The sequence below is a fragment of the Homo sapiens genome, chromosome 1 (genome assembly GCF_000001405.40).
Source record: "Homo sapiens chromosome 1, GRCh38.p14 Primary Assembly".
In the NCBI taxonomy this organism is placed as follows: domain Eukaryota; kingdom Metazoa; phylum Chordata; class Mammalia; order Primates; family Hominidae; genus Homo; species Homo sapiens.
In genome coordinates, this window is record NC_000001.11 from 151416670 (window position 1) to 151440620 (window position 23951).

Consider the following 23951-nt stretch of genomic DNA (forward strand, 5'->3'; position numbering starts at 1 on the left):
CTGGAGAGCAGTGGTGTGATCATATCTCACTGCTGGCTCGACTTGCTGGGCTCAAACAATCCTCCCACCTCAGCCTCTTGAGCAGCTGGGGCTACAGGCACAAGCCACCACACCTGGCTAATTAAAAAAAAATACAAAAACAGAGAGAGATAAGGTCTCACTATATTCGCCAGGCTGTTCTCAAACTCCTGGGCTCAAGCAATCCTCACGCCTTGGCCTCCCAAAGTGCTAGGATTAGAGGCATGAGTCACCATGCCTTGGCCTGTAATGTTATTAAGATGATACTGTTATCACAATTAAATATAATGATCCACTGATATTCTGGGGACAACTCAGAAAATTTTTAAATAAAGTAGGTATTGAATGTTATTAAGGATTTCTGATTAATTCTGTTAGATCTTTTTTTTTTTTTTGAGACGGAGTCTTGCTCTGTCGCCAGGGTGGAGTGCAATGGTGCGATCTCAGCTCACTGCAACCTTCGCCTCCCGGGTTCAAGTAATTCTCCTGCCTAAGCCTCCCGAATAGCTGGGATTAGAGGCGCGTGCCACCACACACGGCTAACTTTTTGTATTTTAGTAGAGATGGAGTTTCACCATGTTGTCTGGGATGGTCTCGATATCCTGACCTCGTGATCCACCCGCCTCGGCCTCCCAAAGTGCTGGGATTACATGCATGAGGCTCCGCGCCCGGCCCTCTTTTTTTTTTTTTGAGACAGCGTTTCACTCTTGCTGCCCAAGCTGTAGTGCAATGGTGTGATCTCAGCTTACTGCAACCTCCGCCTCCCGGGTTCAAGCAATTCTCCTGCCTCAGCTTCCCAAGCAGCTGGGATTACAAGTGTGCACCACCATGCCCAACTAATTTTTTGTATTTTTAGTACAGACAGGGTTTCACCACGTTGGCCAGGCTGGTCTTGAACTTCTGACCTTAGGTGATCCGTCCGCCTCAGCCTCCCAAAGTGCTGGGAGTACAGGCGTGAGCCACTGCGCCGGCCTATTAGATCTTAACAAAGGTACTGTGGCCACACACACACACACACACACACACACACACACACACACACAAAAGGCCTTATTTTTTAGAGCTACATATTAAAATATTTAGGAGAAAAATATCATGATGTCTACAATTAACAAACAATTCAGAAAATAAAAGGAAAAAAATCCCCCAAAATATTAGCATGTAAAAATAAGCTACTTTTTGAAAAGGTATCTGCACTCCCATGTTTATTGCTGCACAGTTCACAATAGGCAAAATATAGAATCAACCTAAGTGCCCACCAACAGATGAATGAATAAAGAAGATGTGGTGGCTGGGCACAGTGGCTCATGAGGTCAGGAGTTTGAGACCAGCCTGACCAACATGGTAAAACCCCGTCTCCACTAAAAAATACAAAAAAATTAGCCGGGCGTGGTGGCGTGTGCCTGTAATCCCAGCTACTCAGGAGGCTAAGGCAGGAGAATCACTTTAACCCAGGAGGTGGAGGTTGTGGTGAGCCAAGATTGCACTACCGCACCTCAGCCTGAGCGACATAGCAAGACTCCTTCTCAAAAAAAAAAAAGATGTGGTATATATACCCAGTGGAATATTATAGCCACAAAAAAGAATGAAATTCTGTCATGCAGCACATGGTTAGAACTGGAAGTCCCTAAGTGAAGTAAGCCAAGCACAAAAAGACAAATATCACATGTTCCCACTCATATGTGGGAGCTAAAAAAAAAAGTAGATCTCATGGAGAGAGAGTAGAATGGTGGTTACCAGAGGCTGGGAAGAGTAGGGGAGTAGAGAGTTGAAGAGAAGCTGATCAACAGGTACAAATATATGGTTTGAAAGAAGAAATAAGACCTAGTAGATCAGTAGGGTGACTATAGTTTACAATAACCTGTTGTAAATTTTAAAATAGCTAGAAGAGAATAATTTGAATGTTTCTAGCATAAACACATAGAGTGATGAATATTCCAAGTACACTGATTTAATATTTACAGATTATATAAATGTATATTAGATTATCACATGCATCCCTAAACCATGTACACCTATTATGCATCAATTCTTTTTTTTGAAAAAGCTACTTTTGGGCTGGGCACGGTGGCTCATGCCTGTAATCCTAGCACTTTGGGAAGCTAAGGTGGGTGGATCACGAGGTCAGGAGTTTGAGACCAGCCTGGCTAACATGCTGAAACCCCGTCTCTACTAAAAATACAAAAAATTAGCCGGGCATGGTGGTGGGCGCCTGTAATCCCAGCTACTTGGGAAGCTGAGGCAGGAGAATCGCTTGAAACCAGAAGGTGGAGGTTGTAGTGAGCTGAGATTGTGCCACCGTACTCCAGCATGGGTGAAAGAATGAAGCTCTGTCTCAAAAAAAAAAAAAAAAAAAAAAGAAAAAAAGAAAAAAAGTTACTTTCGACCGGGCATGCTGGCTCATGCCTATAATCCCAGCACTTTGGGAGGCCGATGCAGGTATATCATTTAAGGCCAGGAGTTTGAGACCAGCCTGAACGACACGGCGAAACCCCATCTCTACTAAAAATAAACAAACAAAAAAATTAACTGGGCATGGTGGCACATGCATGTAATCCCAGGAACTTGGGAGACTGAGGCACAATAATTGCTTGAACCTAGGAGGTAGAGGTTGCAGAGAGCCAAGACTGCGCCACTGCACTCCAGCCTAGGTGACAGAGCGATTGTCTCCCAAAAAAAAAGCTGAGCACGGTGGCTCACACCAGTAATCACAGCACTTTGAGGCTGAGGTGGGTGGATTGCTCGAGCTCAATAATTTGAGACCAGCCTGGGCAGCATGGCAAAACCCTATCTCTACAAAAAACACCCCCCAAAACAAAAAACCCCCCAAAATTAGCTGGGCATAGTGGCATGTGTCTGTAGTACCAGCTATTCAGGAGGCTGAGTTGGGAGGATCATCTTAGCCTGGGAAGTGGAGATTGCAGTAAGCCAAGATTGTGCCACTGCACTCCAGCTTGGCTAACAGAGTGAGACCCTGTCTCAAAAAAAAAAAAAAAAAAAAAAAAAAACTACTTTCATGCCAGATCTGTCAAGGGTGCAAAAAAGGAAATTACGAAAGACTGCAAGAATAAAATTGATATATGCTAAGGAAAGGTGATTTTGGTAAGCATAAAATCTTGTCATAAGAGACTCAAAAATTAAGTCAGGGAAACCAAGAGAAAAAAGATCAATGAGGGTCTACATTGTTTCTTTTCCATAAGGAAAAACTTATCTTCCCTCTGTGTAATTTTATTATTTGTGGAACTTCGGAATAACAAAACCCACCCCCCATATTACGCGTAAAAATGAGTTAGGTGCCCAGACTGGGCAACACAGCAAGACCCTGTCTCTACCCCCAAGAAAAGGAATAAATTAGCTGGGTGTGGTGGCATATGCCTACAGTCCCAGCTACTCAGGAGGCTGAGGTGGGAGGACTGCTTGAGCCCAGGGGTTCGAGGCTGCAGTGAGCTAAGATTGCGTCACTGCACCCCAGCCTGGGTGGCAGAGCAAGACCCTGTTGTCTCAAAAAACTGGTGTTTTCACTAAGAGGTATGGATGAGTTACTCTGGCTTCACATTACTGACAGTGAAGAATCGTGAGTCCTATTCTAGACCAAGCTGGCTACCCTGGCACTACACTGCAGTGTTACCATTGATTCTTTGTTTTTTGAGACAGAGTCTTGCTCTGTTATCCAAGCTGGAGTGCAGTGGCGTGATCATGGTTCACTCTAGCCTTGACCTACTGGGCTCAAGCAATCCTCCCACCTCTACCTCCTGAGTAGCTACGACTATAGGCGTGCGCCACCACACCCAATTTTTGTATTTTTTTTGTAGAGACGGGGTTTCTCCATGCTGCCCAGGCTGGTCTTGAACTCCTAAGCTCAATCTGCCTGCCTCGGCCTCTCAAAGTGCTGAGATTACAGGTGTGAACCACTGCACCTGGCCCGGTTGATTCTAATATACATTCTACTCCCAAATGATTAGTCCAAAGTTTCACTGTCTAATATGGTGGCACCAGCAACATGTATCTAGTGAACACTTAAAATGTGGTAAGCTCAAACCCAATTTAGATTTGTATTTCAAAAGATCTGTTTTTTAATGGAGGAAAAAAGAATGACGAATATCTCATTAATTTTAAATTTTGAGTTCATGTTGAAATATTTTTAATATACTGAATAAAATATGCTGTTAAAATTAATTTTGCCTGTTTTTTTAAACTTTACAGTAGACGCCCTTTGCCAATGGGAAATATACGTTCCAAGACCCCCAGTGCATACATGAAACCTCAGATAGTATTGAACCCTATACATACCGTGTTTTTTCATATATATATATATATATACCTATGATAAAGTTTAATTTATAAATTAGGCAAAGAGATTAACAATTAAAAATATATAATATATAAAAGGATAATTATAACAATATACTGTAATAAAAGTTATGTGAATGTGGTGTCTCTCTCAATAATCTTATTGTACTGCACTCACCTAGTTTTGGACTGTGATTGAGACTAAAATTGAGGATAAGGGAGCGCTACTGTATTTAAAGTGAAAAAAATTAAAATTACTCATGAAGCTTGCATATTTCTACTGCCTAGTGTTACTGTAAGCCATTAATGTCAATCCCACTTCCCTTGCCAATAAATGGTCAGAGATATAAAAGGAAAGCAATTCTCACTCATAAGAAAACAGATTCAAGAAAGAAAAATTGAGGATAAGGGAGCGCTACTGTATTTAAAGTGAAAAAAATTAAAATTACTCATGAAGCTTGCGTATTTCTACTGCCTAGTGTTACTGTAAGCCATTAATGTCAATCCCACTTCCCTTGCCAATAAATGGTCAAAGAGATATAAAAGGAAAGCAATTCTCACTCATAAGAAAACAGATTCAAGAAAGAAAGATGGGAAGATAAGATCTCTTCTTTGTCTAACAATTTTTTATCTGGACATAGTGCCTGACACTTATACAGCCACCCTGCTATGAGCCAGAGACAAGAGAATTGTTGAAAACCAGCAGGGCAGTCAAATTCTAGGCTGAAGCATCCATTTCTGTATCTCTCAGTTAAATGATATAACAGATATTCTTATTGTTTTCTTTTGTTTTGAGACAGAGACTCGCTCTGTCATCCAGGCTGGAGTGCAGTGGTGCGATCTCAGCTCACTGCAACCTCTACCTCCTGGGATCAAGTGATTCTCATGCCTTGGCTTCCTGAGTAGTTGGGATTACCTGCGCACACCACCACAGCCAGCGAATTTTTGTATTTTTAGTAGAGATGTGGTTTTGCCATGTTGGCCAGACTGGTCTCCCCTGGCCTCAACTGATCCACCCACCTAAGCCTCCCAAAGTGCTGGGATTACAGGTGTGAGCCACCACACCCAGTCCTTATTGTTTAATTCATTTTTAGTTAAGGATTTTTACTTGTAGCAAATGCATCCAGATAATATGCATATGTCTTCTATGCTTTTGATCATGCTGTTTTCAATCACCTAAAAGCTTTTCTTACTACTCTCCATCCATCTAAACCTTTCTTAAATTTAAGCACGACTTTCTTGGAAACCTAGCCACAAGGATTTTTTCCCTTCTCTGAAGTATTTCACCTATCAATGATATCTTAAAATGTCTATGTTTATAATATACTATCTTGTTCTCACATTTTCCTATATTTACATAATTTTTGTCTTTACAACAAAACTGGAAATCCCGTAAAGGACATGAGAAGTATTCTCAATACTGGGCTTAAATCCTCACTATGTATCCCCAGTAGAGGTGTATTTAGAGGTGTACGCTCATAAGCAAATGACTCAATTTCTTTGAGCTTATGTTCAGCCTACATCTATCTATAAAATGTACAGTGTAGAAAAACATTCCAGCTTACCTTATATTTCACTGAAAGCACTGTCTTAATGATAAAGTACTTCATAATATTATCTTTTTTTTTTTGGAGATGGAGTTTTGCTCTTGTTGCCCAGACTGGAGTGCAATGGCATGATCTCAGCTCACTGCAACCTCCGCCTCCCGGGTTCAAGCGATTCTCCTGTCTCAGCCTCCCGAGTAGCTGGGATTACAGGTGCCCGCCACCACACCCAGCTAATTTTTGCATTTTTAGTAGAGATGGGGCTTCGCCATGTTGGCCGGGCTGGTCTCGAATTCCTGACTTCAGGTGATCTGCCTGCTTCGGCCTCCCAAAGTGTTGGGATTACAGGCGTGAGCCACCGTGCCCGGCCATATTATCTTTTATCCTACTTAATTTCTTTGAGCTTATGTCCAGCCTACATGTATAAAATATACAGTGTAGAAAACACTCCAGCTCATCTTATATTTCATTGAAAGCAATGTCTTAATGATAAAGTACTTCACAATATTATCTTTTAGCCTACATAAAACCTATCAGGGTTTAACTAAAGTGGAAGAGCAAATAGATGACTGTTCCTTCTATAAAGAGACCTAAGAAATAAATTAATTACATTTGTTTTTCTACAGTGGTTCTGAATCAACGCCCCTAACAATTCAGGATCTAACACTGAACTCAATCCATGCTTGAACAAAATAAAAGTCAGGCTTGTAAAAAAAAACAAGGTGAATGAAGTAAAGAACTGGCTACAAATATGAAAAGTACTTCCTCTACACTGTTACCCACATGTAAATAAATATAATGGGCTCCCCCCAGCGCCATTCAATGAGTGAACAGCAAGGTATATTCCCCTTGAGTTTAAGAGTTTCCAAACTTACTAGTAGATTCATAGGGACTATGAACATTTTCCAAGTGGCACTGAAGCTGGAAGGGAGTGGAAAACTGGCGGTAACAGTGCTGGCAGATAGTGTGACCATCTACCTCACCGTTCTGCTGATCGAGTTCTACGTGGTGTTTCATATGGTTCATGAATCTGTAATAAAGCACAAAGAGAAAGTACAGAAAACATAAAAAATTGGTAGCCTTTTAGAAATATAATGGTAAAATCACAGAACAAACATTATCTGCTCCCCTCCATTCCCCAGACTTCCTGTTTGGGATATCCTTTTCTGAGCCCAGAAAGATAATGAGTTCTTGAAACTAAGAGAGTTCTGGGAAAGGAGACATACTGCTTTCCCTTACTCGATCCAGTTACCTTTTGTTTATTACCACAATATCTCCTTCTATAGTCCTAGTTATTGATTTAATGATAACCCCAGCAAGACTGCATAGTAGTTAGGTCCATTCTCCAAAGAGAAAGACTTAAAATATATAAGAAAATGTAAGTCTTCTCTTGTTCAAGGTAACTTCCAAGGCTCTTAAACACTTACCGAATATTGTTTTTTAGCCTTTTGGTACAATGTGGGCATCGGAAAGATGTGGCGACCTTAGGGAAATTTGTGAGCTGGGCTACTTTGCCACCATCCCGTCCATAGTAGAAGTCATCTACAAGCATAATGAGTTTGGTCTGGACGGCATCGCCCACGTTCTCATTTGGTTCTGGTACTTTGGTAGGCGGTGACAGAGCAGGAATAGGTGTAGAAGAGGGTGTGGAAGCAACAGGAGCTGTTTTCTCAGGGGATGGGGGCTTTGCTGCTGATGGGACACTGGGTTCTGAATCCAGGGACTTTCCTTTCTTCTGGTATTCAACCATTTCTGGGCAACAGTACTATAAAGAAAGACATCTGATCATTCTGGTTATCCTGGGGGCTAGAATGTGCTAACTCCTTAACTTCACTACCATTCCTTGTTAACGGTTTGGTTTCAGGTATTCTCATTCAGCTTTCACCCTTCAGTTTTTTTTAGCGTTTCCAAGTTTTACTCCTTTTCTAGAGTATATCCACATATGCCACCCAAGCGCTATACTTTGTATTTCTCCCTCCTGCCTGTCTTAGGTCCCTTAATCATTAGTATAACTTGGCTCTGAGCTCCCTGGCAAAGAAGAAGTTCCAACCTTTTTATCTGGACTAATACCAAAAAATGAAAAGCTAAAAAATGGAAGTAAGAGCTCCCGATTCATCCAATGACACAATTAACAAAAATGAACTGAGGCCAATATGGTTTGAGTCCTTATTATCTATAAACCTGTTCTCCTGTGTGGTTTCAAAATCTACCACACTAAGAAAGTAAGATCACATATGTTCTGATCTATTTGAGGGTCTTTAAATGTATCCCATCACATTCCAAAGTACACAGCTCTTCTAAAAACAGACCAAGAGAAACAGTAACCCTTTAAAAAGCTTCAGTCATTTTAGAGCCCCTGCTTACAAGCTTCCAATATTAATGAAGGTAAATGGCAGAAGCCACTTAAGCTGGATCACAGGTGATATCACTTACACACATGTGACCTCTCAAAGCTTCAGTAACACGAAATTGAGCATTACATCGTGGACATATTTTCCGTCCACCATCCTGGAGGTCAAATACTGGGATGGAAGAGGTCACTGAAAGAAGTGAGAAGAATTGATAAGATTAATACAATGACACTGGAAAAAGATTACTGACCTTTTGGGAAAAAGTCAAACACTCCCTGAGAAGTATATAAAAGGGTAAGCAAGCATGAGAGATCACTATGGTTTTTGTTTGTTTTTGTTTTTTTTGAGACACGGTCTCTCAGTCTGTTGCCCAGGCTGGAGTGCAGTGGCACGACCACAGCTCACTGCAGCCTTGACCTCCCTGGGCTCAAGATCACTATGTTTGAGGCTTCCTTTTACTGTTCTAACTCTAGGCCAGGGGTCAGCAAACCACAGCACACAGATCAAATCCAGCCCAGCTACCAGTTTCTGTTTGGCCCATAAGCTAAGAATAATTTGTATGTGATTTTTTTGTTAAGGTTTTTGTTTTTTTTAATCTTGCAGAACTGAAGCTATATCCAATAAAAACCTCCTCACCATTCTCCCCTCGCCTCCACCCCGGCAACCACAATTCAACTTTGTCTCTATGAATTTGACTACTCTAGGTACCTCAAGTAAGTGGAATCATATGGTACTTGTCCTTTTGTGACTAGCCTATTTCACTTTAACATAATGTCCTCAAGGTTCAACCATGTTGCAGCACATGTTGTAGCAGAATTTCCTTTCTTAAGCCTGAACAATATACCATTGTATGTGAATACCACATTTTATTTATCCCTTTATCAGTTGATGGACCTCTGTGTTGCTTTCACCTTTCAGCTATTGTGAATAATGTTGCAATGAACATAGGTGTACAAATACCTGTTCTAGTCCCTGCTTTCAATTCTTTTGGGTATAGAATGGAATTCCTGGAGCATACAACAATTCTATCATTTTTAACTTTTTGAGGAACCACCATACTGTTTCCAAAGTGGCTGCATAATTTTACATTTCCACCAACAGTGCGTAAGGGTTCTGCTTTCTCCACATCCTCAACAATATTTGTTATTTTATGGTTCTTTGATAGTAGCCATCCTAATGGGAGTGAGACGGTACCTCATTGTGGTTTTGATTTGCATTTCCATAATGATTAATAACACTGAGCACCTTTTCATGAGCTTATTGGCAATAACTTTCTTTGGAGAAAGGTCTATTCAGTCCTTTGCCTACTTTCCTACTTTTTTTTTTTTTTTTGAGATGGGGTCTTTCTCTGTTGCCCAGACTGGAGTGCAGTGGCACAATCTCGACTCACCACAACCTCTGCCTTCCAGGTTCAAGCAATTCTTGTGTCTCAGCCTCCCGAGCAGCTGGGAATACAGGCACACACCACCACGCCTGGCTAATTTTTGTATTTTTAGTATAGACGGGGTTTCACCATTATTGGTCAGGCTGGTCTTGGACTCCTGACCTCGTGATCCACCTGCCTTGGCCTCTCAAAGTGCTGGGATTACAGGCATGAACCACCACGACCAGCGAGTCCTTTGTCTATTTTTTAAAAAGGTTGTTTGGGAGTTTTTTTGTTGTTGAACTGCACAAATTCTTTATATATTCTGGATATTAACCCCTTATTAGATACATAATTTGCAAATATTTTCTCCCATTCTGTGGCTTCCCTTTTCACTGTGTTGACAACGTCCTGCACAAAAGTTTTAAATTTTGATATAATTTAATTTACTCATTTTTTCTTTTCTTGCGTATGCTTTTGGTGTCATATCCAAGAAATAGTAATCACTGTCAAATCCAGTATCATGAAGCTTTTTGTCCTATAATTTTTCTAAGAGTCTTATAGTTTTAGTTCATTTAGGTCTTTGATCCATTTTGAGTTAATTTTTGTATTTATTGTAAGGTAAGATCCAACTTCTTTTGGACATGGATATCTAGTTTTCCCAACACCATGTTTTAAAGGTTTTTACTTTTTTTGAGACAGGGTGTCGTTCTGTTGCAGTGGCATGCTCATGGCTCACTGCAGGCTCAACCTTCTGGGTTCAAGCCCAAGCCATCCTCTCACCTCAGACTTCTGAGTAGCGAGGACTGCAGACATACACCACCACGCCTGGCTAATCTTTTTTTTTTTTTTTTTTGTAGAGATGGGATCTCACCATGTTGCCCAGGCTGGTCTCAAACTCCTAGGCTCAAGTGATCCTCCCGTCTTGGCCTCCCATAATGCTGGGATGAGGTGTGAGCCACTATACCTTGCGGTTTTTATTTTTAAATGGTTGAAATAAAAGAATAAAACTTTTCGACACATGAAAATTTTATGAAACTTAAATTTCAGAGTCCATAAATAGTTTTTAGTGGAGCACAGCCATGCTCATTCGTTTATGTATCTGTGGCTGCTTCCCCACCACAACAGCACAGTTAATAGCTGCAACAGAGGCTATATATTGTGCACAAAGCCTACAACTTTACTACTAGGCCCTTTACAGAAAACATTTGCCGACCCCTGCTCTAGACCACTGAAAACCCTCATGCTCATCATTCTCAACCTGAAGATCTCTCTACCAAATCCTAACTTTAAAACCTTGCTCAGAAATCCATCTCTTCCATGAAGTTATCTTTCATTATCTCACCCATCTTTAATCAATCAATTTCACTAATCTCCAAAGCACAATTACACACATAATTTCTTGGAGCTGATTCAGTTACACTTTTTGTAAGTGGCTTTCTCCTTACTAAAGTTTCTGTAAGAACAAACTACAGCAGCTGTATTTTATTTTATTTTTCTATTTCTGAGTATAAAGCTCTGATACAACAAACACTTTATTAATGTTTTTGAATGACTGGCTGCTCAGAGTCTTTCAGGTTATTGTACCTTTCATTGAAGACTCAGGTCCGCTGGTTCTTTGAGAGCCATGAGCAGAGCTGTTGTTGGACACCACCACTGGCCCAGGACTCTGGCCCAGGGAAGGGATGGTGTTAAGGGTATTCACCAATTTGGCCACTTCATTGCTATTTTCGCCTGTAACACCAGGTCGCTTCACAGTGACAAAGCTGGCAATGCTCACTGCAGGTGGAGAGGGGAAGGAGGGAGCTACGGTGACCAAGTGATAATCATCTGTTCTCCACCCACCATCCCAACCTGGCTCTGCCATCTCCTCTTCCGAAGCCTTACCTAGCTTGGGATTCGTGGTCTGGTTTGACTGGCCTGGAGACTGAACAGCTAGTTGCCCCAGTGAGGTTGGCTGTGTGGCAGTGGGAGTGGTAGAAGTGCTGGGAGTGGACTTGGTCTGCTGGGACTGGGACTGTGGGACGGTGCTTCGAATGGTAAGAGTGGCCGGGATGACGGTGGTGAAGGTGTTGGTGGTGGGCCTCACAGGCATTGTGGAGCCTGGCCTCACAGGGGTCATCTGGGAGAACACTTGTGGAACTCCAACTGTCGGCTTAACAAACTGGGTACCTGGGGCTTTAAAAGAGAGACAAAGTACCAGATCTTGGTCAGTGAGCTCACCTATAACACATTCTCCCTGCCTTTACTGGAAAGATTATTTCCCCAAACTGATGGATGATCATCAGAGGTTTCCAAGAGGAGTATAGATTCTAAAGACTAAGAAAGCACAAGGTGTCCATGTTGACAAAATAACCTGGGCAGCCTAAAAACATTAAGTTAAATAAGACTCCCATCAACTCCTCCTAAAACACCTTATCACACTGCCTTTTTAATTCTAAGAATACAATCAGTGGCTTGACCTCGGTACTGGAAGAAAAGAGTGGGAAGCAATATGGGTGTATATAGGCCAAATGGCAAACCTGGTCCTGAAAAAAGAAATCAGTCTTTCTCAGAGTACTAAAGGAGTCTTCCATCCTCTTCTATCAACTCAGAAGACAGACTATGCCATTCTACTAGGATGTCCCAAAGAGGAATGTCTCCTGGCTCAACTGTAGACAATTCCACTGAGAAAAATAAAGAAATGCCAGGGTAAGCTGGTCAGACTTAAACCCCTATGGGCTACGAGAACAAAAAACAAAACCTTAGGAAGACAAGCTACAGAGGTACCCTTACAAATAGCTAAATTAAGATACTCTTTTTTGGTCTGAATTGTAGTAAACTTATACATGCTAAATAGAGCAATGGAAAATTCTAAGATTTTAAAAAAATTATCCTTCTCAGAATCTTAAAAAAAAAAAAAACTATCTAGCAGAATCTTAAAAAAAAAAACTATCTAGTCATTGACAGTATTTATCCATAAAAGGAATGTCATTTGTTTATATCTAAAATCTATGCTATAAAATTAAAACAAAGTTTATAATCCCACCGTGCAAATGAGGAGATGTGTAAGGAGTGTAGAATTTATGAGTTTGCATTAATAACATAGTCTTAATAGCTGACTAAATACCAGTTACAGAAAAATGACTGTAAACTCTGTTTTACTACTTGATGAAGGGTGGTGAAAAGCTAAACAGAAATAAATAAAACCACCACCCTGGCCAAAGGTTAGAAGCAGATTTTTTAAAATTGGGCTTAAATCATTAATATTTTTATATTTTTAGATTTTCTTTAAATGTACTTACTAAATGACTTAGGATATTTAGAACAATAAAAACAAATCTTCTGGATGCCAGTTTATTCCAAATGGATAGACATTTTTCCTTACCTGGAACTAGTGTAATTGGTCTAACCGTTTGGCCTTGCTGTACGTTCAGCACAATCCCAACCTGATTCATTGCATTTTGTACAGGCCGGACATTCCTTACAGGAAATCCCTGTATTAAAAAGCAAAATGATCTTTAACATGGAGACCAATTAACACTGACAAAGATTGCAGTATGACCTACATCCAAAAAAAAATTCCCATACTCTTACTTAATGGTTCTTTCTCTAGAATTAGAGGTTTCAAATGACTGAGAGGGAAAAATTTAGGAAATTCTGGCAAACTTTTGAGAGACAAAATATCAAAATTAGAGAACAAGCTTTGGTACACATGAGCAAAAATGAAAACCTATTTCCTGACTTAAGAGAGCATCGGCTTAAAAAAACCTCATCAACAGACTGGCTCCCTAAAGTGCTAAATGAACAGAAGTGGGGGTGGGGGGCAGGGGGAAGAGCAATGTTCACTGGAGTGATTCAACATACAAACAATCCTAAAAAATTGTTCCCAAAGTCTACTTCAAAGGCCATAAACCTTTGGCAAATTCATAAGAATTTACAACTCAGGAAGCCACAGGCAAAGAGAAGCATTTGCCTTTAGAATCCATATTCAGAATTAGGCTTTCAACTTCAATTCAACACATTATATATCAAATAAGTCATCTTCCTTGTCTCCCAAAGGTCTCCATGAACTCCACCAATTACATACATACATCTCCAAAAGTTAACTAATTCATCCCATGTGAAGAGGAGCAGTCCACGCAAAGGGTGAAAAGCCTCAAGAGCCAAGCGTTAAGGCTTCCTAATTCAAGTTTTCCCACTATTTCTGCCTAGACTTTAATCAAATCACTTAATAAACTTCTAAGGGGTTTAAAGAAGATATTACCCAGCCATACTATGCTGGGCTTTCCACAGTTGGCATCAAATTACAGAACAGTAAAAGAGAAAGCCAGGTCAAAAGACAAGACTTAGAACCACTTCTAATGACGCCAAAGACCCTAAGTCAGAGTTTTCAGAGGTTTATAGTCTTTCTCTCCTCTAGCAACCTTGGAATTCAGAGTCCTACTCACCTGCGTAGTGATAAATATTGGTTGTGAGGCCACAGGGGAACTAGTCACATGATTGGCATTCTGCATGACCTGAACAGGCCTCAATACTGGTTGAGTAACCATTGTGCCCAGACCTGGGGCTGGATTCTGGGTCAGGATGAGTGGCTGTCCACCTTGCTGGACCAAAGGATTGCCAGCTAAAGGGTAAAGGAAGAAAAAAAAAAAGGAATGTTAGAAACAATGTTAAACCCACATTTTACTTTATTTTATTTTATTTTATTTTATTTTATTTTATTTTATTTTATTTGATACAGGGTCTCACACTCTGTCACCCAGGCTGGAGCACAGTGGCACAGTCACGGCTCACTGCAGCCTCAAGTTCCTGGGCTCAGGTGATTCTTCCACCTCAGCCTCCCAAGTACAAATCCACATTTTATTAGAAACAGAAATGGTGTCCTATATGCCAAAATATCCAAGACTGCCACTCATCTCAGGTTTAATGTGACCAAACTCACCAAAAATTTAAGTTTCACCCAAATCTACAACTAACAGAAAAACAGATGGGTAGGGGAGGTTCACTAACACTTCACCCATATGTCTTCACTGGGGATGAAAGACACATTAGAATTCTATGTGGCTAGCACCCTGACTCTCATGATTTAAGTGACCACACATAATCTCCCCCACCAAATCAGCAGAACAAAATATGTTAAGTCTTTTTCCATATTTTAACTAGGTAAAACCTATTTTATTAGAAGATAATTTGTTAGCTAATCCCCCTTAATTTTTTAAAAAGAATATTCATCAACAAACATTAATTCAGCAAGCACACAGAATCTAAGGAATGGTTTCTCTTCCTAGTGAGTTAAATCTGAGAAATGCAAGATTCTTTAAGCAACCACTGGGAACCCAGAGACTGACAGGCTACCTACCGTAGCCCTCTCTTTATGTCATCAGGGGTGATAATCAGAAGACCTGGACAAAAACTAACCCACACCAAGTAAAAATGACATGATTTCAGAAGATAATGATTCATTCATGAATAAATATTAATAAACTGGGCTATTATTGAAATATCTTAAATTCTTTTCATTTGTGAAAAATTTTATAAATATTTTTAAGTCCCCTATTTCATGACATTTGGTGAAAAAACCAATACTAAGTTTCCTGATTTACAAAGTATACTCAAAACCAGATAGAAAATTTCAGAGAGCCAATATACCTAAGCCAAAGAGTCAAGCAGGCCAGGCATGGTGGCTCACACCTCTAATCCCAGTACTTTGGGAGGCCAAGGCAGGCACATCACTTGAGGCCAGGAGCTCAAGACCAGCCTGGCCAACACAGCAAAACGCTGTCTCCACTAAAAATACAACAATTAGCCAGGCATGGTGGCGCATCCCTGTAATTCCAGCTACTTGGGAAGCTGAGGCAGGAGAATTGCTTGAACCAGGGAGGCGGAGGTTGCAGTGAGCCAACATTGTGCCACTGCACTCCAGCCTGGGCGACAGAGCAAGGCTCTGTCTCAAAACAACAACAACAGCAACAACAACAAGAAACAAAAAACCAAAGAGTCAAGCAAAATATGGCCTCAACTTTTTACCCAAAATCACCAGAATGGGATGGGCCCCTCTGAAATGTATGTTCCACTTGGCAGGTTATATCACCACAGTTAACTACAAAGCTAGACCACCAAAGGAATAGGTATGTAGGTGGCTACTAATGGGCCAGCAGTGGCTTATCTTATACTCTCTCAGAAACTGAGAGCTCATCAGTAGACTAGACCCTCAGTTACTGAGCCAGAAGACCAGTGATTGTAGAGGCAGATAGATAAATAAAACAGAAAATTCCAGCAAGTTCTATCCATGTTAAACTATACTGGCAATTTATCTATGGTGGGTTTTTTAAATTTTTAAATGTTTTATTATGGAGAAGTTAAAACATACATAAAAAGGGAACGCTATAGTGAACCCCTATGCAACCACCACCCTGCTTCAATAATTATCAATGTATGGCAAGTCTTATTTCATCTATACCTTCTACATACTTACTAGTTCCCATATCACTTTAAAGCAAGTTCTAGATCATATCATCTATAAGTATTTCAAAATATACCTTCTACATAAGAACTTCAAAAAAAGATAAAAGAATCATACCAACATAACTCCTGAACATTATAATAATTATTCAATATCAAATACCCAGTCAAAATTCAAATTTACTTGTATTTTTTAAGTAATTTGTCTGAATCCAGTTACAAAATGTTTGCAAAGTGCAACTGATGAACTAACTCTTTTAATCTATAGGTTCCCCAACCATCTCTTTCTATCCTTTTGAAATTTATGGTTGAAAAATATTGACTAAGCAAAAGTCTATATTTTTTAGTCATTATTTTAACTGCTAGGACAAAAGAAAATAAATTATCTCTTATTTATCCTAATTCTAAAAATTCTTAAGATAATTACTAGCTCAACATCCCAATTAAATACAAGAAGGGAAAGATGGAGGCTTTTTGCATTTATGGGAAATCAGTCAGCATTAGCAAGTCTCTTAAAGACAGACCAGGTTTCCATGAAACCCGTAAATACCATTATAAAGAATTTTAACAGCATTTTCTGCAAATATTTTCTCTTATATCAGGGTCAAGTTTAAATTTTGGTGGATTGTTAGAATTTTTCCAAAAAGGCTGGGCAAGGTGGCTCATGCCTGTAATCCCAGCATTTTGGGAGGCTGAGGTGGGTGGATCACCTGAAGTCAGGAGTTTGAGACCAGCCTGACCAACACGGAGAAATCCCGTCTCTACTAAAAATAACAAAACTAGCCAGGCGTAGTGGCGCATGCCTGTAATCCCAGCTACTCGGGAGGCTGAGGCAAGAGTATTGCTTGAACCCAGGAGGCAGAGGTTGCATTGAGCCGAGATCGCGCCACTGCACTCCAGTCTGAGCAATAAGCGAAATTCCGTCTCAAAAAAAAAAAAAAAAAAAAAAGAATTTTCCCAAAAATATGGTACAATCAAAAAGTGGTTTTCTAAGACCAGATTAGATTCACAATGCAATGGAAAGCAAAAGCCAGACTATGGAAAGTCATACTAGGTAAATTATACTTACTTATTTAGAAGCATTTTAATGATTTCTGCAATCTTTGCTCAAAGGAATTCTGACAATTCAAGTGTCTTACAAGGTTCTATTTCCAGAGGATGAAACAGGCAATCACAATTCTGGTGCTTTAAAAAAAAAGCCTTTAAAAGGATTATCCAAACTAGGGCAGTGGTATGCACCCGTAGTCCCAGCTATTTGAGAGGCTGAAGCAGGTGGATCACTTGAGCCTAGGAGTTCGAGTCCAGCCTGGACAACACAGTGAGACCCCCATCTCAAAAACAAAACAAGGCCAGGCGTGGTGGCTTACGCCTATAATGTCAGCACTTTGGGAGGCCGAGGCAGGCAGATCACTTGAGGTCAAGAGTTTGAGACCAGCCTGGCCATCATGGTGAAACCCCCATCTCTACTAAAAATACAAAAGTTAGCTGGGCATGGTGGCATATACCTGTAATCCCAGCTACCTGAGTGACTGAGGCATGACAATTGCTTGAACCCAGGTGGGGTCTTCAGTGAGCCAAGATTGTGCCACTGCACTCCAGTCTGGGCAACAGTGTGAGTCTCAGTCTCAAAAATAAAAAATGAAAAATAGCTAGGCATGGTGGTGTGTGCCTGTAGTCCCAGCTACTTGGGGGGCCGAGGTGGGAGGATCGTTTGAGCCTGGGAGGTGGAGGGTGCAGTGAGCCAGCTGTGTTCGTGCCACTACTGCACTCCAGCCTGGGTGACAAAGTGAGACCCCATCTTGAACAAAACAAAGAAAACCTAAGAAACAAATGAAATAAAACAATCCACCTCAGTGACAATTAATTCCATGAGTTTTCTTCTATACTTCAGACATCACATGGTATCAAGCACATTATTTTTTGAGACAGAGTCTTGCTCTGTCACCAGGGTGGAGTGCAATGGTGCAATCTTGGCTCACTGCAACCTCTGCCTCCTGGGTTCAAGTGATTCCCCTGCCTCAGCCTCCCAAGTAGCTGGGACTACAGGCACATGCCACCATGCCCAGCTCATTTTTTTGTATTTTAGTAGAGACGGGGTTTTACCATGTTGGCCAGGATGGTCTTGATCTCCTGACCTTGTGATCTGCCCACCTTGCACATAAATCAAAGAATTATGCAACTAACTTTCTCCCTCTAAGTTTGCTCTCTCTTGATTTTTTTCCTTCATTCTTTCTTTTTTTTTTTCACAAGGAGTTTTGCTCTGTCACCCAGGCTGGAATGGCATGACCTCAGCTCACTGCAACCTCTGCCTCCTAGGTTCAAGTGGTTCTTCTGCTCAGCCTCCCAAGTAGCTAGGAATACAGATGCCCACCACCATGCCCAGCTAATTTTTGTAGTTTTTAACAGAGACAGGGTTTCACTATTTGGCCATGCTAGTCTCAAACTTCTGACCTCAGGCGATCTGCCCGCCTCAAGCCTCCCAAAGTGCTAGGATTATAGGCGTGAGCCACTGCGCCCAGCCTTCCTTCATTCTTTTAAGTTTACTTCCATACCCTTAAAGCCCAGAAATAGAGGGCTAAATACAATAGGAACTGAAAACCATAATTAGTTATACTGTAAGAAATTTATAACATTAAATTCACATCATTCACAGCTCAGAATTAAGCAATAGTTTATTTCACCTCATAATGTTTCTTTCCTGTGCAAACATAAGATGAGTCAGAACTACAGGAATAATTTTAAAATACTGAGTAGTAAATTCTAAAGAACATCAAACAGAATAGTAAAAATATTCCAAAATTTTATTCCTGATACTTTCCTTTTTTTTTTTTGAGATGGAGTCTTGCTCTGTAGCCCAAGTTGGAGTGCAGTAACGTGATCTCAGCTCACTGCAACCTCCACCTCTCAGGTTCAAGCGATTCTCCTGCCTCAGCCTCCCAAGTAGCTGGGACTACAGGTAAATGCCACCACACTCGCCTAATTTTTTTGTATTTTTAGTAGAGATGGGGTTTCACCATGTTGGTCAGGCTGGTCTTGAACTCCTGACCTCAAATGTTCTGCTCACCTCGGCCTCCCAAAGTGCTGGGATTACAGGTGTAAGCCACACACCTGGCCTTGATACTTTCTTAAAAACAAAACACACACAAAAAACCAAACCCAGCTTTGAGATATAATCCACATACTGCCCATTTAAAATACACAATTCAGTGATTTTTTTTTATATTCCCAAGGCTGTGCAACCATCATCATCATTATTTAGTTCCAGAACATTTTCTTTTCTTTTTTTTTTTTTTTGAGATGGAGTTTCGCTCTTGTTGCCCAGGCTGGAGTGCAGTGGCGTGATCTCGGCTCACTGTAACCTCCGCCTCCCAGGTTCAAGCAATTCTCCTGCTTCAGCCTCCCGAGTAGCTGGGATTACAGGCACATGCCACCATGCCCGGCTAGTTTTTTATATTTTTAGTAGAAACAGGGTTTCACTATGTTAGCCAGGCTGGTCTCGAACTCCTGACCTCAGGTGATCCGCCTGCCTTGGCTTCCCAAAGTGCTAGGATTACGGGCGTGAGCCACCGCGCCTGGCCTAGATCCAGAACATATTCATCGCCCTCAAAAGAAACCTCATTTCCCCTAGCAATTATTCCCCATTCTTTTCTCTTCCCAGCCCCTGGCAACCACGAATCTAATTTCTCTCTCTGTGGACTTGCCTATTCAAGACATTTCATATAGATGGAATCATATAATATGTGACCTTTTGTGTCTGGCTTCTTTTTTCTTTCTTTTTTTTGAGACAGAGTTTTCCTCTTGTTGCCCAGGCTGGAGTGCAGTGGTGCGATCTCAGCTCACAGCAACCTCCGCCTCCCGAGTGCAAACGATTCTCCTGCCTCAGCCTCCCTAATAGCTGGGATTGCAGGCATGCACCACCACACCTGGCTAATTTTGTATGTCTGGCTTCTTTCTCAGCATTATGTTTTCAAGGTTCATCTATGTTATAGAATGTATCAGTATTTCATTCCTTTTTATGGGCAAATAATATTCCATTGTGTACATATATTACATTTTGTTTATCCATCAATTTATGGACACAGGTTGTTTTTACTTTTAGCTATAACAAATGATACTGCTATGAACATTAGTGCACAAGTTTTTATGTGAACATACGTTTTCCATTCTCTTGGGTATACAGCTAGGAGTAGAACTGCTGGGTTATATGGTAACTCTATGTTTAACTTTTCGAGGGCCAGGTGAGGCGGCTCATGTCTGTAATCTCAGCACTTTGGTAGGCCAAGACAGGCAGATTACTTGAGGTCAGGAGTTTGAGACCAGCCTAGCCAACATGGTGACACACTGTCTCTGCTAAAAATACAAAAGTTAGCCGGGTGTGGTGGCAGGCACCTGCAGTCCCAGCTACTTGGGAGACTGAGGTACGAGAATCATTTGAACTTGGGAGGCAGAGGCTGCAGTGAGCCGAGATTGCGCCACTGTACTCCAGCCTGGGCAACAAAGCAGGCTGGAGTGCAGACTCCGTCTCAAAAAAAAAAAAAAGTAATACATGCCACAAACACCTTCCAGTTTGTGGTTTGTCTTCTCCGTGTGTGTTTTTTTTTAATCACATCTTTAATGTAGTTCTATTTATCAATTTTACCCTTTATGGTTAGCTCTGTTTTTGTATTTGGTTTAAGAAATCTTTCCCTCTTCTGAGACCACAAATTTTTTTTTAATTTTAAATTTCTAAACTTTTTAAAGTACACTAAGTGAAACAATACTGAATTGTTTAAAAATTATTCTCATTTGCTGGTGGGGAGCAGTGGCTCATGCCTGTAATCCCAGAACGTTGAGAAGCCGTGGTGGGTGGATCACTTGAGGTCAGGAAATTGAGACCAGCCTGGCCAACATGGTGAAACCCCATCTCTACTAAAAATACAGAAATTAGCCGAGCATGGCAGCGCATGCCTGTAATCCCAGCTACTGGGGTGGGTGAGGCATGAGAATCGCTTGAACCAGGGAGACAGAGGTTGCAGTGAGCCGAGACTGCGCCACTGCACTCCAGCCTGGGTGATGGAGTAAGACTCTGTCTCAAAAAAACAAACGTTATTCTCATTTGCTATGTTACTAATGTAGTAAGCAGATAATATATCAATACAATTAAACTGAAGGCTTAAAGGGAAACTGGGTTGTATGAGGCAGTATTTCTCATTCACTTTATTCTGAAGCCATATCCTTAAAGTTGGACTAGCATTTCAAGAGTTCCTAGGCTGGGCGCAGTAGCTCACGCCTGTAATCCCAGCACTTTGGGAGGCCGAGGTGGGCAAATCACCTGAGGTCAGGAGTTCGAGACCAGCCTGGTCAACACTGTGAAACTCCATCTCTACTAAAATCACAAAAAACACAGCCAGGCATGGTGGTGCATGCCTGTAATCCCAGCTACTCAGGAGGCTGAGGCAAGAGAATTACTTGAACCCGGGAAGTGGAGGTTGCAGTGGGCCAAGATCACATCACTGCACTCCAGCCTGAGTGACAGAGGGAGACTCCATCTCAAAAAAAAACAAAAAAGAAAAAACAAGAGTATCTGATGAAAAAAGTTACAGAACTGTATGTATTTTTTATATAGATATATAAAGTAAAATAAATTAGACAACTGCAATTAATTTATGCTTATCTATGGATGAATTTTTTTTTGGAATACACAAGACTGTGGTTACTTACCAGTCTATACCCACTGTCTTCTTTTTTTTCATGAACATGGGTTATGGGTTAACATTTTAATTTAAATATTAGAGGCTTTTGAAGTAAATAAAGTCAATTTATATTTTTTAGAAAAAATTAGTACACTGGCCATAGGCAGGCTCAAGAATCAAGGGTACATTCAAGGAGTCAAGGAGACTAGGTCATCTCAGCATGTCACAAGATGCTCAGCTGGCCTGGCATGGTGGCTCACTCACGCCTGTAATCCCAGCACTTTGGGAGGCCAAGGAGGGAGGATCGCTTGAGCTTGGGAGTTTGAGACCAGCCTGGGCAACATGGTGAAACCCTGTCTCTACAAACATTATAAAAGTTAGCCAGGCATGGTGGCATGTGCCTGTAGTCCTAGCTACTTGCGGGGCTGAGATGGCAGGATTGCTGAGCCACAGAGGTTGAGGCTGCAGTGAGCTGTGTTCACGCCACTGCACTCCAGCGTGGGTGACAAAGTGAGATCCCGTCTCAGGGAGAAAAAAAAAAAAGAAGATGCACAGCCATCTCAGTATGGGCCTTGGAACCCTGGGATCAAAGAAAAGGTTAGGTAAGCTGGTTGCTAACAGAACTTTAACAGTTTGAGAGACACATAGGACTAGTCCTGTGGTAGTGGGTTATCAGAACTTATAAACATTAGTGTCACTAAAGTTGGTATACAACTCCCCCACTGCTAAATTTGACTGGCTTAAAAAAAAAAGAAATACACAGGAAAGCAATATAATACAGTGGAAATCCCGAAAGCTTTGAAGTCCAGAAAATGCAAATACAGTTTAGTCACTTAGCAACTATTATTACTTATAACAAAAGCAAATTATTTAGACTCTCTAGGCCTCAGTTTCCACATCTGTAAAATAATAGAAATCTTTACATAAATGGTTCCCCATCTTTATACATACAAGGGATCCCATTTATAAGTTTTTTAGAAGTCTAAAGATTCCCCATAAAATCATCATATTTTCAGTACCCAAATACTGAAAACCTTTGGAAATCATGGAGGTTTTAAAGTTTGATAATACCTAAAGTTGGCAACAATGCGGGGAAAGAGCTACTGGCGGGCACTTATTTAGAGCAACCTATTAGGACAACTTGACAACGTCTATCAAATTATAAACACCTGATCCAGCAAATCTCACCTCTAAGACTTTATATTGCAAATACGTTTTACACAGTAGGCAAGGACACATGCCTGAAAACATTCACCACAGCATCATTTGTAATCACAAAGGATGGGGACCCTAATAAATGTTCAACAATGGGGAATGCACATATAAATGGTTATATTCCCAAACTAAAAACCATACTCTCTTCTATCAGCAATATAAACTGACACAACATTTCTAGATGGCCAATCCAGGAACAATACTGATCACAATTCTTAAAAACTGTGATGACCTTTGAGCCAACAATTTGTTTCAGAAATATATTTGCAGAACTAATTAACAATGCGAGAAAAGATACAGAGATAGGAATGTTCACTGAAGCTCTTAAAAATAGCAATATACCCTCTTACAACCCATTGTTAATAAGTTAATCAAATAATGGGAAATACAGTCAGTCATCAAAAATGTTATAGATGACTATTAAAATAAGATATTCACTATTAAGGGGAAAAGGCAGGCAGAGTAATGTACAACTTGTATAATCTTTTTTTGTCAAATGAAAATCACCACATATAACATATAGATGTATATAAAAATAAAAAATAAATATATGTACAGAATAAAAGTAACCATCAGTTATCTTCAGGTGGTGGGATTATGGTTAAACATTTTTTTGTTCCTTTTTTTTTTCACTTTATAGTTTTTCTACAATGCATATATTATTTTTGTAGTACTAAAGCTGTTTTAGTTTTAAAGGAAATAAAATAATTAAAAAATAAAGTCCCTCGCAGCGATGCAATGACTCTATGAAAGTGCCTACTTCAGTTATGAATCTTGAGACATAACTGGTCAACAACTCATCTTAGGAGTGTAGAAATAGACATTAGAAATTAAATAGAAACCAATACTATATAGCCTTTCTATTAAAAAAAATAAAATAAAATACACTAAAAACACTAGTCTTTCACCATTTCTTTCATGTAGACAACAACCCTATCCTATCTTCCATACTCAGGAACCAATAAACAAATGAATCTGCCAGAGAAAATACAGAACTGCCCTGGGAAAATTCTTACCAAACTAATGGAATTTTTCTCATTAAAGAAACAAAAAC

The 23951-nt window shown here is 40.4% G+C and overlaps 1 protein-coding gene and 1 pseudogene across 16 annotated transcripts in view; one reads left to right on the plus strand and one right to left on the minus strand.

The window, feature by feature from the left end:
* Positions 1-23951, minus strand: part of POGZ (pogo transposable element derived with ZNF domain) — a 56771-nt gene that overhangs the window by 13946 nt on the left and 18874 nt on the right. For 8 of the 16 annotated variants that reach the window (XM_005245005.3, NM_015100.4, XM_017000748.2 and 5 more), the window contains 7 exons: positions 13997-14172; positions 12934-13042; positions 11454-11744; positions 11154-11372; positions 8286-8392; positions 7280-7617; positions 6728-6882 (listed from right to left, as the gene is read on the minus strand). In XM_005245005.3, the coding sequence (XP_005245062.1) occupies positions 6728-6882; positions 7280-7617; positions 8286-8392; positions 11154-11372; positions 11454-11744; positions 12934-13042; positions 13997-14172 (1395 nt within the window). Of the gene's footprint in view, positions 1-6727; positions 6883-7279; positions 7618-8285; positions 8393-11153; positions 11373-11453; positions 11745-12933; positions 13043-13996; positions 14173-23951 lie in introns of those variants that run through there. The other 8 variants (NM_001194938.2, NM_001194937.2, XM_047450068.1 and 5 more) reach the window with 3 other exon arrangements.
* Positions 22333-22424, plus strand: RNY4P25 (RNY4 pseudogene 25; annotated as a pseudogene).